The sequence below is a fragment of the Homo sapiens genome, chromosome 6 (assembly GCF_000001405.40).
Source record: "Homo sapiens chromosome 6, GRCh38.p14 Primary Assembly".
Lineage (NCBI taxonomy): Eukaryota > Metazoa > Chordata > Mammalia > Primates > Hominidae > Homo > Homo sapiens.
The window spans coordinates 151,782,071-151,800,749 of record NC_000006.12 but is presented as its reverse complement, the minus strand read 5'-3'; the positions used below and the strand labels follow the sequence as shown (position 1 = coordinate 151,800,749).

The 18,679-nt window shown below is 39.6% G+C and overlaps 1 protein-coding gene across 13 annotated transcripts in view; it reads right to left on the bottom strand.

Moving 5' to 3' along the window:
* Positions 1-18,679, bottom strand: part of ESR1 (estrogen receptor 1) — a 472,948-nt gene that overhangs the window by 328,870 nt on the left and 125,399 nt on the right. Inside the window, exon 1 of one of the 13 annotated variants that reach the window (XM_011535545.3) lies at positions 9,038-9,235. The exons of the other annotated variants lie outside the window; for them this stretch is intronic. The gene's annotated coding sequence lies outside the window, so the exon portion shown is untranslated. Of the gene's footprint in view, positions 1-9,037; positions 9,236-18,679 lie in introns of those variants that run through there. 13 annotated transcript variants of the gene reach the window in all.

The window sequence follows — 18,679 nt, the reverse complement described above, 5'->3', positions numbered from 1 at the left end:
TGATTAGCTGTATTTACCAGGACCATTTCTAAGTGCGGAGAACTGTTTTGGTCAGCTCAGGCTACTGTAACAAAATACCATAGACTGGGTGATTTAAACAACAGCGATTTATTTTCTCAGTGTGGGGTTGGGGTGGGTCCTGGAGGAGGTAGAAGGAGGAGGACAGAAAAAGAGAGAGCTCTTTTTATAAGGCCACAGTCCTATCAGAGTAGGGTCCCAGCCTTAAAACATCATTTAACCATAATTACCTCCCAAAGACCCTATCTCCAGATACAGTCACATTGAGTGTTAGGGCTTCAATATGTGAATTTGGGTGGGTAGGGGAGCATAATCTGGTCAACAGCAGGCATCCCAAAATAAACAGAACAAAAACCTCTGCCCCCAGAGAGCTGACTTCAGGGGCTTAGTGTTTAGTCCTATTACAATGGCCCTTCCTGCTCAGGCTCTTCTGAGAGCCCCTCTTCCTCTCCCTCCTCTCAGGTGTGGGTACCCCAGGATTCAGCCCCTAGACCCTCTTCCCTCCTCTGCATACCTTCTCCTGGATGATCACAACCACTCCTTGTGTTTTTACTTTCATATATACATTGAAAATTTCAAAATAGAAATCTCCAACCAACCTCTCTTTCCTGACTAGGAAGTCCACTTTGCCAGGTACCTATTAGACATTTTTACTTACATGTTCATTCATTCAATAAATATTTATTAAGCTCCTCCTATGTACTAGCTACTTGAAGCTCAACTTGTCCAAAAGTAACTCAAGAGCCAAAGAACTTGAATTACTATCCTCATTTATCAAGAGTCCCCACCCTCCCCAACAGGTACTATGCTCCTCCCATACTGGATTTCTTTTAAGTTCCTCAGTCCCTCTGGACTTTCTCTGGGTCTAAATATTCACGTATGCAAATTACCCTACCTGAAATCTTCCTCCCATCCCTTTTCATCTGACATACTCCTACTCATGCTTCAAGTCTCCCTTGAGACATCATAGCCACCAGGAAGCCTTCCTTGATTTCCTGTTGAGTGCTACTCCTATAAATGCTCGTATCTCCCTAAACATTCTCATTATACTACTTATCATGCTGTTGGATTTCCTATTTGTCTCTCTGCTTCCCCAAGTTGGCCTGTAAATTCAAAAAGGGCACACAAGGACTCTGTTTTCCAAAGACACTAGTCCAATGTGAGCACAATCCCTGATGTGTAGTTGTAGTTGGCCCCCAACAAATACTATTTGAACAATGAACTTGTAAACTCCTTCCAGACATCATCTCTGCATTAACTGACTTCCTCAATGATTTACCTCGAAAGAAGTAACTATAATAACTGAAATTTAGAACCAGAGCTTGGAGGACAATTGGGGAGCAGATTCATATTTTCTAGAACAACTCACATTCTTTTCACACAATAGACAATTAGAATGAATGTTTCTTTATAAGTTGTTGAGTCCAAACTCTTCATTGCACTTATAAAGAAACTGGGGTCCTGAACAACACAGGAGACTTGCTGAAGGTCATGCAGCTTGAGGAACTGGAATAGAATCTGTGTCTCCAAACTTGGAGTGCCTCCTTCTTTCTATCCCACCCTCAGCCTCTCTGGGTAGATGCCGCATTCTTCTGACTTTTAGTGTGGGCCTTGCTTGCTCAGCTTAAATAAAATTAAGGGACTAATTGGTGGCTTAATGAACTATTCTTAGAGTCTCAAAAATGCCTAAATCTTTGGAAACTACAACAAGACTGCCTTCACATTCCCAAATCACTGATAAAGAAATGGGAAGAGCTTGAGAACATAAGTTAAAAACATTGAAACAACTGTGTTCAGAGACATAATTTGTTTTTTGAACATGAAGAAATGAGTAATCTACCTTCCATTCATTACTCATCAGAAGAGAGTTCATTTAGGTCTCATGCTTATATCTGTATAATTTGAACTGAACATTCTAGCTAAAGAAAAAAATTAGACCTTTCCTATATCTGCTAAATTGTACAAACTTGCAAATATAATACCTTCAACAATAACAGCAAAAAACCCTACTTGTTTTATTTGATTTGACACAGTTCAATTTCCAAAAGAATCTAATTTGAAAGATATTGAAGCTATCATACTCATTGGGGAAACTATTCTGTGATCAAAAAGTGCTAGCCTTCCTAAAAATCAGCCTTTTAAAAGAACTGGAAAGATTATTGGAAATAACATAAACATTCAAAGACTCAAAAGAATTTAGTGTAAAACTTTTGGTTGATAATTGAATAAAGACATCACTTTTAGTGACACTTGTCAGTAGGTTTTTGTACCATAAATCCAGAAGGAAACAATAATTCCACAAATTCTTATACCAAATTCTAATAAATGGCTAATGGCACAAATTGTAAATTTGTTCCCTTTTCTCACCCTGCCCTTCTCCATTTCCTGTCCTGAATTTGCATCTACTTCCTTATCATGCTGTCGAGTTCATCTCTTCACTGAGGGCTTTCCAAGCCAGCCCTATCCAATCTCTATTCAACATGGGTCACTTAATGAGACCCAGAATTCTAATCAAAACCCACAGCAGAAAAAAAAACACCTGGCCAGCCAATGTGTTCTCCCTTACGTATGTGTCCTCATCTCTCTCAGCCTCCCTTTCCAACAGGCTCAGTCACTGACACTCCTTCCTCAACACAGCCTTCTCAGGCCTCGCTTTCGGCAGTGTACCCAGAGTTCAAGATGTACAACTGTCCCACCCACTGAATCCTCAAGTCATCAAAATGCCAGTTTGCTCAAGGTCTTAATTTAAGTCTGCAGTTTATAGGAATGCATCTGATTAATTTCCTTTCCCACCTCATATGTAGGTATTTGAATTTTAAAAATGGAAATTATATTAAACTGAGAAAATCCTTACGTAGAGAACTGATAAAATACAAAAAAGAAAACATAGGACCTGGGAGGACATAGCGCCATGCAAAGCATATTCTGCTCCTTTCTTTCTCAAGAGGCATGAAGATTCAAAACAAGAATGAGCTGTATCAAACCATCCCTTGTTAGCCCCTGGAATGCCTAAGTAAGTTGTTCTTCACATCCCTCCTCCCCCTGCAGGGATCATCATTGTTCTTATGTAAGCAATTAATCATATGTAATAAACAAGCACAAGCAATGCCTGAAGGTAGACTTATGGATGTCATGGAACATATTCAACAGCAGTCAAATCAAATAGGCTAATGATTTTCCCAAAGGAAAAATGAGGAGAGAGTATTCCAAATACCAAAAATTCACTCTGTTGCTACTTGCAATGCTAGAGACAGAAAATATAAAAAGGAATAAAGTCCTTTCTAAGTCCTAGTGTAAAATACCCAAAAGTTTAAGTCTAACAGTCCCATTTCCATTGGCTTTTCTTTCATGCAAAATGTGATCTTTGACCCCTTCTGGCATGCTGGTTTAGCTTTCTCAAAATGGACATCAGAACGACTGAACTAAATATAACTCTTGCTCAATCAGTCTGGACATGCTTATTCTTGGAAATAAATGCTACATTCATTCAAACAAATGTTTTCCAATCAGCCCAGATTCATCCTTCACTATGTGCTTAACAGACTTTCCCACCTCTGCCCATGAGACCCGGTTACTTTTTTGGGTAATCTAGCACTAGCTAAGTAGCCAGTAACACTTGTAACCCCAGTGACATGCTCTTCACTTTGCTGAAAGGAATTACAGTAGAAACTCTGAACTATAATCTCATGAGTCCTAGCCTATGCTCCCTTCAGATCTCACTCACAATGACTGTAGTAGCATTGTGTATACTCTTGAGAGCTTTGTAGTGGATCACCCCAACGTATAGGTTGGGAGGAAGGTGGTTGGCCAAGGGAACTAGATTGGCTCGGCCTCTTTCGGAGCTAGGTTGATGGTGAAGATGATTTCTGTTGACTCCAAACTACTGCTATGTGAACATGATCACCAGTTCTGGAGACTTTTCCTTCAGACTGCTTTGACAACCACCAGTTTTAAAAAGGGAAATAATATTAAACATCCTTTCTAGTGTTCTTTACTTATGATCTCTCTTCTGAGCCCTCACCAGAAGCGTAAGGTATTTGGTTGGTGCAAAACTAATTGTGGTTTTTGTCATTAAAACTAATGGCAAAACCATTACTTTTAAAATTACTTTTAATGGCAAAAACCACAATTACTAATAAATCCTGATGGCTGTTAACTGAACATCTATCAAGTGTTTTACAAATGCCATTTCATTTTAAAATTGTATTTTATTTACTCTTGATATATAATGCAGTTGGTGCTTTAAACTTGAAAAGATATTTTCAAAGTCATAGTGGGAAAATCTTTCACCTCTGCCTGCAACCCACCAATTTTCCCTCTCTGGAGACAGCTGAGGTCGCCAGTTTTTAAATTTCCTTCCAGAGATATTCTACACATATTGAAGAAAACACACACACACATTCTTCCACACCCCTTTTTAAAAGACCCAGATAGTAACATGCACCTTATTTGTGCCATGTGTTTTTTTTTGTTTTTATTAGCAACATATCTTGGATATCTTTCTATTTCACTAAATAAACATCTTCCTCATTTTTTGTTTTGTTCTGTTTTCTTTTTTTTTTTTTTGAGACGGAGTCTCACTCTGTCACCCAGGCTGGCGTGCAGTGGCCCAATCTCGGCTCACTGCAAGCTCCGCCTCCTGGGTTCACGCCATTCTCCTGCCTCAGCCTCCCGAGTAGCTGGGACTACAGGCACCCGCCACCATGCCCGGCTAATTGTGTTTTGGTTTTTTTTTTTTGGTATTTTTAGAAGAGATGGGGTTTCACTGTGTTAGCCAGGATGATTTTGATCTCCTGACCTCATGATCCGCCCACCTCGGCCTCCCAAAGTGCTGGATTACAGGCGTGAGCCACCGCACCCGGCCACATCTTCGTCATTTTTGATGACTGCATAGTATTCCATGCACAGAGGAATTCTAGTTTATTTTACCAGTTCCCCATTAATGGCAATTAGGTGTGTTCCTAATATTTTACAATTATCAACAATGCTACAATTAGTAAATTTGTACATAAGTCAATTTGCACATGAGTAAATATGTGCGGTGTTAATTTTGGTAGATGTAACCAAATGCCTTCATAACGCCTGTACAATTTAAACTCCCATAGCCTTACAAATATGATGGATCTTCGAACTTTTTGATGCTTTTCAAAATAGTATCTCTCCATGCAGTTTTAACTGACACTTTTTTACTATGATTGAGGCCAAGTAATCTATCTTTCCAGATTTTTTTTTTTTTTTTTTTTTGAGATGGAGTCTCACTCTGCCGCCTGGGCTGGAGTGCAGTGGTGCGATTTCAGCTCACTGCAACCTCTGCCTCACAGGGTTCATTCAATTCTCGTGCCTCAGTCTCCCAAGTAGCTGGGATTACATGTATGCACCACCACACCCAGCTAATTTTTGTATTTTTAGTAGAGGCGGGGTTTCGCCATGTTGCCCAGGCTGGTTTCAAACTCCTGACCTCAGGTGATCCCCCCACCTCAGCCTCCCAACGTGCTGGGATTACAGGCATGACCCACCACACCCAGCTCTTTTCAGACATTTTTATTTGAACATTATACCTCCTAGTGGTTGTGTGATCTTGGACAAATCAAGGTCTTTAAGCTGAATCTATAAAATTGGGGCAATTTCCACCTCAAAGAGTTGTTGCAAAGATTAAATGCAATGATATAGGAAACGCAAGTTCTTCTTGCTATTTTGCTCCATTATTTTGACCATAGTTGACAATTCCCGGGGCCCCAGAAGCACAAGCTAATAATGAATGAAAGGTACTGAGAGTGTGATAAAGGTCAGAATTGTGTGGCCCAAAGGTTTTGGACGAAATAAAGAGCTGTTGTTGAAGGCGTGCTTACTATCATTCCAAAATGACAGTTTGCTTGACACATCATTGAAATTTGGTACAAATTAGCAATGTTTCTCTGGGGACAAAGAGTAGCCATGCATGTTGGCACCTTAGGTGTGGAGAACGTTAACACCAGAAGCAAGCTATATAAACTTAAAAACCAAAAACTCACGAGTCTAGTGTGTTTTTGGAAATGAATTGTTGCAATGCCAGTTTTGACTATTTGCAACATTTTCAGACCCATTGTAAACCATCTATTGCTCCCACTGAGACATTGTATAGTCCAAGTAAATATCTATTATCAGATTTTAAACCTTTGTAAATAACGGGTAGATTGTTGACAAAATTGTGACTGTCATGTTGAGAAAAGGACTTTGGCTTTCACAAAAATAAAAAAAATTTGGAAGTAATCTTTCAACTATCAGGCATTAAGATCTTTTGATCTATTGCTAAAATGCTTGGAACTCAAATGGCAAATGTGTGTACAGTCTAATTTAGGATCCCTTTATATACAAAATTATCAGTAGAGTTGAAGCCATAAACCACTGAATTTTTCTTAACTTTATCTTTTAGTCTTTCCATTTATGTCATCGATAAATACAACTACTAGATCTGAAGATTATGGAAACCCATTTGGACTCCAATAAGAGGAAAACAATGATTGTGCCCTAGTTTTAGTGGAAAGAAAAGGTCTTATATTTATGGTTAACTTTTCACATTTGCAAAAGAAGCCAAAGAGTTGTTTTCATATTAGGAGAAAATCCAGTTGTTAACATATTCATGAGTTTTCTGATCCACAGCATAGACATCAAAGGAGAGTTTATGCTAACCCTCCCTTCCCCATTTTGTTACACTCGATCACGATTTTTTTAGAACACAGTGAAGAGAACATTAAATAGCCTATCACTACAGAAGACATCCTATTCTCCTAATATGTTTTAAAATATGTTTTTATATTGCAAGTACATGAATTTAAAATTAATAAGTTAAGCAAGCAGGTTTAATTTCTCTCTGGGGAGCAGGTAGGCAACCAGCTATTACAGGATATGTCACTTTGAATTACACATATTGTTTTACTGTTGTGGTTTTTTTACTAGACTTCGAGGTCACTTCCAGCCCCTAGCACACTGCCTGGGCACATATTTGGTGCTCAGTAAATATAGTCATGCACCACATAATGATGTTTTGTACTGCAGATATGACAGTGGTCTTGTAAGGTTATAATGGAGCTGAAAAATTCCTATTGCCTCCTGACATTGTAGCTGTCCTAATGTCACAGCACAACACATTACTCACGTGTGTGGTGATGCTGGTGTAAGCAAACCTATTGTGCCACCAGTTGTATAAAAGTCTGGCAATACAATTATGTACAGTACATAATGATTATGATAATAAATGACTATATGACTAATTTATATATTTACTTTACTACAGTTTTTATCATTATTTTAGTGTACTCCTTCTACTAGAAAAAAATATTACCTGTAAAACAGCATTAGGCAGGAGGCAGGTCCTTCTGGAGGTCTTCCAGAAGCCCATATTATTATCAGAGGAGATGACAGCTCCAGGGGTGTTACTGTCCCTGAGGACTTTCCAGTGGGACAAGATGTGGAAGGGGAAGACAGTGACATTGATGATCCTGACCCTGGGTAGGCCTAGGCTAATGCATGTGTCTGTGACTTTGATTTTTTAAAAAGGTTTAAAACTTTTTTTTTTTTTTTTGAGATAGAGTCTCGTTCTGTCGCCCAGGCTGGAGTGCAGTGGTGCAAACTCAGCTCACTGCAAGCTCCGCCTCCTGGGTTCATGCCATTCTCCTGCCTCAGCCGCCCGAGTAGCTGGGACTGCAGGTGCACACCACCATGCCCGGCTAATTTTTTTGTATTTTTAGTAGAGACAGGGTTTCACCGTGTTAGCCAGGATGGTCTCGATCTCCTGACCTCATGATCTGCCCGCCTCGGCCTCCCAAAGTGCTAGGATTACAGGCGTGAGCCCCCGCACTCAGACTAAAACATTTTTAAAAACTTAAACAGAAAAAAGCTTATAGAATAAGGATGTAAAGAAAGAAAACATTTTTGTACAGCTGTACAATGTGTTTGTGTTTCAAACTAAGTGTTATTATAAAACAGTCAAGAAGATTTTAAAAATTAGAGTTTAGGCCAAGTGCAGTAGCTCACACCTATAATCCCAGCATGCTGGGAGGCTGAGGCAGGAGGATTGCTTGAGTCAGGAGTTCAAGACCAGCCTGGTCAACATAGCAGAACCCAGTCGCTACAAAAAATTTAAAAATTAGCTGGGTGCAGTAGTGTACGTCTGCAGTACCAGCTACCCAGGAGGCTGAGGTGTGAGGATTGCTTAAGCCTAGGAGTTCAATGTTGTAGTGAACTATGATTGTGCCACTGCACTCCAGCCTGGCCAACAGAGCAAGACCCTATCTCTAAAAAAAAATTAAAGTTTATAAAGTAAAAAAAAAAATACAGTAAGCTAATGTTCACTTATTATTGATTGAAGAAAGAAAAATTTTTAATAAATTTAGTGTATCCTAAGTGCACAGTGTTTATAAAGTTTACAGTAGCATACAATAATGCCCTAGGCCTTCACATTCACTCATCAGCCATTCGCTGACTCTCCCAGAGCAACTTCCAGTCCTGCAAGCTCCATTCTGGCAAGTGCCTTGTACAGGTGGACCATTTTTTATCTCTTATACCATATTTTCACTGTGCCTTTTCTATGTTGAAGTGTGTTTAGATATACAAATACTTACCATTATTTTATAGTTGCCGCAGTATTCAGGACAGTAACATGCTGTACAGGTTTATAGCCTAGGAGCAACAGGCTGTACTATCCAAGCCTAGATGTGTAGTAGGCTATACCACTGAGGTTGGCATAAGTATACTTGATGATGTTTGCACCATGACAAAATCTCCTAACAACACCTTCCTCCAAACTCATCCCCATCATTAAATGATACATGATTGTATTGGAAGAGAATGAATAAACGGATAAGATTATTTGAATTTGTTGTCTAACTTTGTGTAGATAAAAGGTTTTTTTTGACATTTTACCTGTTGTTTGGGGTCATACAGTATTTTCCAGGTATTTATTATTATACTATCTGAAATATAGAACAATATCCATTCCTCAAGAATTATAGGAGGAAAACACAGGTGCTCACTGGATTACCTGAAAGCCACATGTCTCCATAAGACCCAGCTCTGCCCTGCCTTAGGAGTTCAAGATGGGCCCTTCGTGTTGATTGCACTGGCTCTCCTTTGAGATTCTTGAGTCCCAGCTCAGCCCACAGCATGGACTTCTCTTAATGACCTTCAGAAACTCTGTAACAATGTGGCTCATGTATTAGTCCATTTTCACACTGCTAATAAAGACATATCCAAGACTGGGTAATTTATAAAGGAAAGAGGTTTAATGGACTCACAGTTCCACATGGCTGGGAAGGCCTCACAATCATGGCAGAAGACAAAGGAAGAGCAAAGGCGCTTCTTACATGGCGGCAGGCAAGAGAGCTCGTGAAAGAGAACTCCCATTTATAAAACCATCAGATCTCGTGAGACTTATTCATTACCACGAGAACAGCACGGGAGAGACCCGCCCCCGTGATTCAATTACCTCCGACTGGATCCCTCCCATGACACGTGGGAATTATGGGAGCTACAATTCAAGATGAGATTTGAGCGAGGTCACAGCCAAACCACATCAGCCTGTAACCACAGATCCACCACACAGCTGATAAAGTCAAAAGATGTGAATAGAATGAGTGTGGAGACCCCTAAAACTGCACACCTGGCAGCAGACCAGCCGTCTGGGAGGTGCTCTTTCTATTCATGACCAGATGCAATGATTCTACTCAATCACTGTAAACAATTCATGATCAGTTATAGCATTTATTGCTTATACTGGTACTTTTGGGAAAACTCACACTATCCAACATTACATAGTTAGGTTTTTTTCATGCCCAGGAATTTCATTATAACATCAATTTGCCAAATAAAATTATAAACTCCTTAAAGGTGGAGATTAACTCAGGGATCAATTTAGGAATACCCAACAGATGTTCGTGGCCAATAAGGTTGGCCTCATTATTTTAGTCTTTTTATTAACTGAATTAAGTGATTTGCTGGGCAAGGGTTAAAAAAGCTGGAACATGTTCATTTGGTCAAATGAATGTGTGTATATAAACAAAATGTTAAAACAGAGCTATTTAGTCCCTGTGTTGGGCTGAGGTCCCCAGATATTAAATGGCACATTCCAAAGTAAAGTCTAAGGTCACCATGTGGGATTAAAAAAAAAAAAAGCAGCAAGAAGCGTTTCTCTCTTCTCTCTTCTCTCTCACACATCAAGCATACGAAAGGATCAAGAATTGGGAAATTAGAGGATGTTCGAAGATGTTTGCCATGAACCCCTTCCACAACAGGTGGAAGAGACAGGACATGGCTGCCCTCATCTGCAGCCCAGGGAAAAGGGCTTCACCAAAACCCTTGGAAGTATTGATTCATGTCTGCCAAGAATTGGTGGACGTGGTGACACCTGAAAATCTTAAGGATAAGAGAACTCTGGCCCACCACTTTGGTGGCACGCAAGAAAAGCTGTCTGTGTCGTCGTGGGGCTGTGCACCCAAAGTTTGCGGAGGAAAATGGAGCTCATGTGGGCCACATGCAAGAGAGAATCAGTGCAGGTTCAGTTTGCATCCAGCCCAAGTGGGCTACCCACAGGGACAGATGACTTCAATAGGAAGTGTGTTGCTAATTCTCAAAGCTGAGAAGGCCCATCACAACCAGCCAGAGGGTGTGGTGCCACCTGCATGGAGGGATCCACAGGGCAAGATCCCAGTGCTAGAGCATGGGGGTTATCCGAAGAGCCCATAAATGAGGCCCTGAGTGAGGGGGGGCAGCTCCCAACACCTTCCAGACTCAAACACAACAACAACTCACGCCAACGTTCCTTAGCTCTCTCCCCACCTCCTGACCCACCCACTTCAACCTTGTAGGGAGTAGAAATTCAGGCTGGCTTTAAGATGCACAAAGACAAATAAATGGGAGGGAAGGAAAAAGAAACCATCTTCCTCCATTACACTGCAGGCAGCGGGCTTGTATGGGGCCAGAACTGGGAAAGGGGAGGAGTTGTGAGATGAAATGAAACTCACACGTTTGATATTTACATTGGGCTGGTTATATAAATTAGTGACTAGTGGCCGTTTATGACTTAGAAATGACCAGAAAGTCTTGAGATTTGTTTTACGTTTCCTCCAGGGAAACAAATGTAAAAGCACAGTGAATACTCTATTTATACTCCATGGGTCCTGCTTTTCAGCATAGTAGTCACATTTCTATTCCTTCAAGGAATTTGCGTCTATCATTCACCCTCCCCACTGCCCCCAACAATGCCTTCAATATTTAGAACAAATGGATCCTATAACTGATAGTTTAGACTAACTAGGGTCAGCCAGGAAAGTGAACATATCTTATTTTTCCCATATTTGTTCATTTATAAAATACATAGTGTGCTATTGTATTGATACATGTTCATTATGAAACTCAAAATCAGAAAGTAAAAAGAGGTTTGAAAATGTAAAGAGAAGTTCTACTATTCAGGACATCCCCTTTGGAAGCTATTGCTGTAAGGTAACATCATCTGACTCAATAAAAAAATTTTCCTTGGCTATTTTCCAAAATGGCTGCACTAATTTACATTCCCACTAATTGTGTAATAAGGGTTCCCTTTTCTCCACATCCTCACCAACACTTCACCTTTTGGGGTTTTTTTTTAACTTTTATTTTAAGTTCAGGGGTACACGTGCAGGTTTGTTTCATAGGTAAACTTGTGTCATGGGGGTTTGTTGTACAGATTATTTCATCACCCAGGTATTAAGCCTAGTACCCATTAGTTATTTTTCCTGATCCTCTCCCTCCTTCCACCCTCCACCCTCTGATAGGCCCCAGTGTCTGTTATTCCTCTCTATGTGTCCATGAATTCTAATCATGTAGCTCCCACTTACAAGTGAGAACATGCAGTATTAGGTTTTCTGTTCCTGCATTAGTTTGCTAAGGATAATGGCCTCCAGCTCCTTCCATGTTCCTGAAAAGGACATGATCTCATTCTTTTTGGTGGCTGCATAGTATTCTATCATGTATATGTACCACATTTTCTTTATCCAGTCTACCATCAATGGGCATTTAGATTGATTCCATGTCTTTGCTATTGTGAATAGTGCTGCAATGAACATATGCATGTATGTGTCGTTATGATAGAACAATTTATATCCATTTGGGTATATACCCAGTCATGGAATTGCTAGGTTGAATGGTAGTTGTATTTTTAGGTCTTTGAGGAATCATCATACTGTTTTTCACAATGATTGAACTAATTTACACTCCCACCAACATTATATAAGTGTTCCCATTTCTCTGCAACTTCACCAGCATCTATTATATTTTGACTTTTTAATAACAACCACTCTGATTGGTGTGAGATGGTATCTCATTGTGGTTTTGATTTGCATTTCTCTAATGATCAGTGATGCTGAGCTTTTTTCATATGCTTGTTGGCCACATGTATGTCTTCTGTTGAAAAGTGTCTGTTCATGCCCTTTGCCTGCTTTTTAATGAGGTTGTTTTTTTCTTGTAAATTTAAGTTCCTTATAGATGCTGGATAGTAGACCTTGGTTAGACGCATAGTTTGCAAAAATTTTCTCCCATTCTGTAGGTTGTCTGTTTACTCTGTTGATAGTTTTATTTGTTATATAGAAGCTCTTTAGTATAATTAGATCTCATTTCTCAATTTCTGCTTTTGTTGCAATTGCTTTTGTCATCTTCATCATGAAATTTTTGCCCATTCCTATGTCTAAGATGGTATTGCCTCAGTAGTCTTCCAGGGTTCTTAGAGTTTTGGGCTTTTCATTTAAGTCTTTAATCCATCTTGAGTTAGTTTTTATATATGGTGTAAGGAAGGGGTCCAGTTACAAGAAAATGATGCCCTCTCTCACCACTCCTATTCAACATAGTATTAGAAGTCCTGGCCAGAGCAATCAGGCAAGAGAAAGAAATATAGCACATCCAAATAGAAAGAGAGGTAGTCAAACTATCCCTATTTGCAGATGACATGTCCCTATATTTAGAAAACCCCATAGTGTTGGCCCAAAAGCTCCTTCAGCTGATAAACAACTTCAGCAAACTCTCAGGACACAAAATCAACATACAGAAATCACTTAGCCTTCCTATACACCAAAAATAGTCAAGCAAAGAGCCAAATCAGGAACACAATCCCATTCACAATTGCCACAAAAGAAATAAAACACCTAGGAATACAGCTAACCCGGGAGGTGAAATTCTCTACAAGAAGAACTACAAAACCCTGCTCAAATAAATCAGAGATGACACAAACAAATGGAAAAAACATTCCATGCTCATGAATAGGAAGAATCAATATCAATAAAAGGGCCATACTGCTCAAAGCAACTTATAGATTCAATGCTATTCCTATCAAACTACCAGTGACATACTTCACAGAACTAGAAAAAAACTATTTTAAAATTCATATGGAACCAAAAAAAGATCCCAAATAGCCAAGACAATCTAAGCAAAAAGAACAAAGCTGGAAGCATCATGTTATCCAACTTCAAACCATACTACAGGGCTACAATAACCAAAACAACATGGCACTGATACACAAACAGACACATAGACTGATGGAACAGAATAGAGAGCCCAGAAATAAGACCACACACCTACAACTATCTGATCTTTGACAAAGCTGACAAAAATAAGCAATGCAGCCAGGCACGGTGGCTCATGCCTGTAATCCCAGTACTTTGGGAGGCCAAGTGGGGTGGATCAACTGAGGTCAGGAGTTCACGACCAGCCTGGCCAACTTGGTGAAACCCTGTCTCTATCAAAATACAAAAATTAGCCAGGTGTGGTGGTGCACATGTGTAATCCAAACTACTTGGGAGACTGAGGCAGGGGAATCGCTTGAACCTGGGAGGCGGAGGTTGCAGTGAGCCAAAATCGTGCCACTGCACTCCAGCCTGGGTGACAGAGCAAGACCCCATCTCAAAAAGTAAAATAAAATAAGCAATGGTGAAAAGACTCCTTATTCAATAACTAAGGCTGGGATAACTAGCTACCCATAGACAGAAGATTGAAACTGAGCATATTTTTTTTCTTTTCAAGGACACATTCAATGCCTACCAGAAAAAAAAAAAAAGTCTTAATAATTCTTTATATGTCAAATTACAGATTTTTTAAAAAATCAACCAAAGTCACACTAAGAGGTTCAGTTTTTACCCTTGTCTAAAGCCAAAAGTCTCCTTCAGCAACATTTGTGTATATAAACGTTTGTTTGTTGTTGACATTTAAAAGCGTGAAATCGGGAGAAAATGGCATGTTTGTTTCATCAATGACTCTCTAGATTAAGTCCAGGGAAGATGAAATTAAAAAGGGTCAGTTAAAAAAGCTTTATGCCGTGCCAGGTCTCCAGCTCACCTTTGCCAGCACAGTGAGTTCCTGCCCTGCAGCGTGCTTGAAACCGGGGTGGGGCAGGAGAGGCAGCCTCTCGCTAGAGGGTAGAGGTGCCAGGAGGCTCGCAGCAGTTGCAAAGACCTCTTATTTTGGAGGTTGGTCCTGGCCCCACTAGAATCAGAAAGTCTCCTGGGAAACAAATCCCACTACCATCTCTTCTCCAGCAGTTGTGATCCAGGGCATCCTTGTGACTTTAATGTTAAAATTATGTCAAAGTCAGGAGTACTGTGAGCACCCTGTGCAGACAAGCCAGGCAGCCCTCAGATGTTGGGGCGGGCAGGGCCTTGGAGGTCATCTGGTTTAATGGGGTTCAGTCTCTTTCCCACTCACCTGAATGGTGACGCTTACCAAGCTTGACACAGTCCTCTGTCTGACCCCAGGGTGGCTGTGATCTTTACCGCACCAAGATTTTCCTCCCACATAAGAAATTTTGAGAATAGAAAGGACATGAATAGAGGAATAATTAACCCCTCCTTCACACTCAACACACAGGCATCAGATAACAAAGTGCCTGTACTTGAATCACACTTCCTTCCTGACAAATCTCATTGCTTGATGGCACTACCACAATGCAGTCCAGGATTGCTTACCCATTATCACCTCTTTTTGTACAGATGGGAAAACTGAGGTTCTAATGGGTTCAATGGCTTGCCCAGAGTGACGACCCAGAGTCATGGCCTCATGTGTCATTAAAATTGACAGGATTTGTGTTTTGAGCCACCTCCAAGTAAACCTAGACTTTACCTGCGGTAGTATGTTATCTTCACTTTGTCCTGGAATCATTCAAAGCCTCCCTCTTGAGATTTTACCTTCCCAGAAAAGCTGCCAGCCCCTCAGAGCATGTGAGGTAGGAATTTTGAGAAAAAATGGTCACACTGAGATATTAATGGGCTTTCTCAGGATTCATTGGATAATAACAGAGGTATACCCTTACTCTGTGGTTCTCAAAGTATGGGCTCCAGGGCAACAGCATCAATATCATCTGGGAAATTGTAGAAGTATAAATTCTTGGCAGAACTGGTTCCTTCCCTTCTTTTACATCTTTTCATATCTCCACCCAGATGCCATCTCTCTTGACCATTCTGTCAAAGCACTCCTCCCACTCCCCGTCTCCAGGCTCATCTTTCACTGTCCTGTCACTGGGGTGCTTTCCTGCTCATTACACTTTCTGTCTTGGTCACTGTGATGGCCAATTTCAGGTGTCAACTTGCCAAGGTTATGGCACCCAGTTATTTAATCAAACATGAGTCTAGATGTTGTAGTGAAGGTATTCTGAAGATATGGTTGACACCAACCATCAGTTGACTGATTGGCTTAAATGACAACTGATTGTACAGTTCCCCCTCATAACATGGGTGGGCCTTGCCCAATCAGTTGAAAAGCTTGTCAGCAAAAACTGAAGTTTCCAGAGAAGAAAAAAATGTCCCTAGAATGTAGCATTAACTCCTGCCTGAGTTTCCAGCCTGCTGGCCTGCTCTACAAATTTCAGACTTGCCAACCTCTGCAATTGCACCAGCCAACCAATAAATATTATAAAGACATGAATAAAAGGCACAAGTTGGGGTGGGGGGAGCACTCATGGGGAAACTGTTCAAAAAACTTATCTTTGGTGGGAAGGATATGTTAAAAGAACTAAAGTAAGTCCTGGCAGCTGGAACCCAGGAGGGGAAGTTACACTAGTCACTTCTGTAACTGTAACACTGGTTGCAATGCAGGAATGGGAAAGGTATTCCTTATAACTCTGAGTCACATGTTGCCTAACTCAGTCTGGGAAACTTGTGACTTTTTCTCTGATCTTAGCACTTAAAATACAAACACTAATTTTTAGATTTCAATCAGAATGTTATTTGATGGAAACATGGTACAAAGAACACCCATTAAGGAAAATTTAAAAATATTTTATCCTGTTGACTTCATTTTTTTAAAGTGTTTTTATATTTAAAAACATATCTTCTCTATAAAAATATAACTTCTAGAAGCTGGAACAATTTGAACAATAAAATAAAGTAGTATTGTTTTTTAGCCCAAAGTCTAAAATAAATATCCATGAAGCTATACTGATATAAATAATTCAATAAATAAATAAATAGGGGAGAATAGACAAATCTCCCATGCAGAAGAATTCCAAATAATTTGTGTACATACACAACTCTCAAAGAGGGGAAGCATAGCTCCCCACTCCTTCATTGTGAGCTGTGCAGAGTGACTTCCTTCAAAGAGTACAGTGTGGAAAGGGGGTAAGGAAGGACTTTACAGAGGAGAAACTAGACAAATACTACCCCAGCCAGTTGGCCAAGGTCAACATTAGTTGTCATAAATCATATTGTTAGAATATATGCTTGATATGATGTAATAAGAATGGCATTTCATTTCTGTGGTCTTCCTCTCAAAACACCTGTAATACCAAGTTAATCATGAGAAAAACATGAGACAAATCTCAGTTGAGGTACATTCTACAAAACGCTTGACCAGTATTCCTCAAAACTGTCAAGGTCATCAAAAACATGGAAAATCTGAGAAACTCATGGCAACAGAATGTAATGTGGTATTCTGGATGGGATACTGGAATAGAAAACGGACATTGGGTAGAAACTAAGGGAACTGGAATAAAGCATGAATTAAGTTAATAATAAAATAACAGTATTGGTTCATTAATTGTAATATACCATACTAATGCAAGATGTTAGTTACTAATACGGGAGCTGGGTGTGGGTTAGATAGGAAATCTCTACTGTCTTCCCAATTTAAATCTAAAATCTAAAACTGTTCTAAAATAAAAGGTGTATTTAATACACATATCTTTTATGTAAAGTGAAGAATTAAATATGAAGTTATTTTCTAAATAGGCACATACAGAGATTGTAGCACCACTCTGTATTAGACTACTATGAAATCAATCCATTTCAATTATCGTCTATACCTGGGCTTATGAAGTGCCTGTAGCAGTGACAGATTCCCTCTGCCTGTCTTGCCCTGCATGTACCAATGGAACTTAAGAACCTGTCTCCTGACAACAAATTGCGTGCCCTTCTCCAGCTAGCAAAATAGCCAACATCTCCCCAGGAGAAGAAGAGATAGACACAGGGCTGGTGCTGATCCCTTATGGGGATCAATCTCCCCAAAGCAAACCAACTTTACACATAGACACTGTGTAAAAGTGGTTTGGTTTGGGGAGCTGACTGGGGCTGGATTTCAGCCACCACTTGCTCCTCAACCGAGCACAAGTCACTGTGACAGTCATTGCAGTGTCCTTGGGGGACACAGGATGACAAGTGGTTGCTGGAACTATGGAAGTATGTATCAATAATATTACATATACCATACGTTTAAATATTTATCTTGAGGAATTAATCTAAGATACAAACATTAAGGTGATGGTATTAGAGTGGTGGGGTCAGTCAGTGTTTCAATAAAACTCACCTAAACACACCAGTAAGTCAGACATTTCTGGTTCATTACAGTTTATTTCCAATTTTAGTGAGCAGATGTGGAGTATGGGAAAGAGCATGGATGTGGCGGAGGAATGGAAGGTGTATTTAACGTTTCAGTTGCCTTTGATTTACACTTAACATTTTTCCACATTTGGCCAGCACTTAATTGTCCATTCACACATTCACTTCATGTGTTTAAATGATTAGATTTCTGGAGGAGAGCCATAATACCAGGGTAGCTTGATTTATAGAAGGCAGCCAGAATAATGAGGAATGTTAAAATGTGCACCTCCACACACATTTAAATAGGTGCACACATTTCTGGAGGGAAATATGGAAGTATGTATCAAGAATATTACATATACCATACCTTTAAATATTTATCTTGAGGAATTAATCTAAGATACATACTAAGATAACAAACAGAGATATCCATTGAAGCATCATTTACCGAAAACTTGGAAGCAAACTTAAAAAACCCAAACACTTGTTAAAGGGGAAAGGGTTAAATAAATCTTTATCTAACATTGAATTATAATACTATTCTTAAAAACAATTAATTCCAAAATAGACTTACCATCTTACGTAAAGTAAGAAAATGAGATTATAAAAACACATTCTTGTTTCTTTATAATTTTTAACACTTTCTATTTCATATTTTTACATGATGATACATTAGTTTCATAAATAAAAAAATACTCTTAAATGTCTTCCTTTTTTTCATATCCCAAACAAGGATGGAGAATCAGATTCAAGTTTCCAACTCCAACAGGTTGTTGATTGATCTGTAGTCAATCAAAATTTGAAGTCTTCAGTTTTAAAACTAAGGATTTGAACTCAACAATCCAAGATCCCAACTT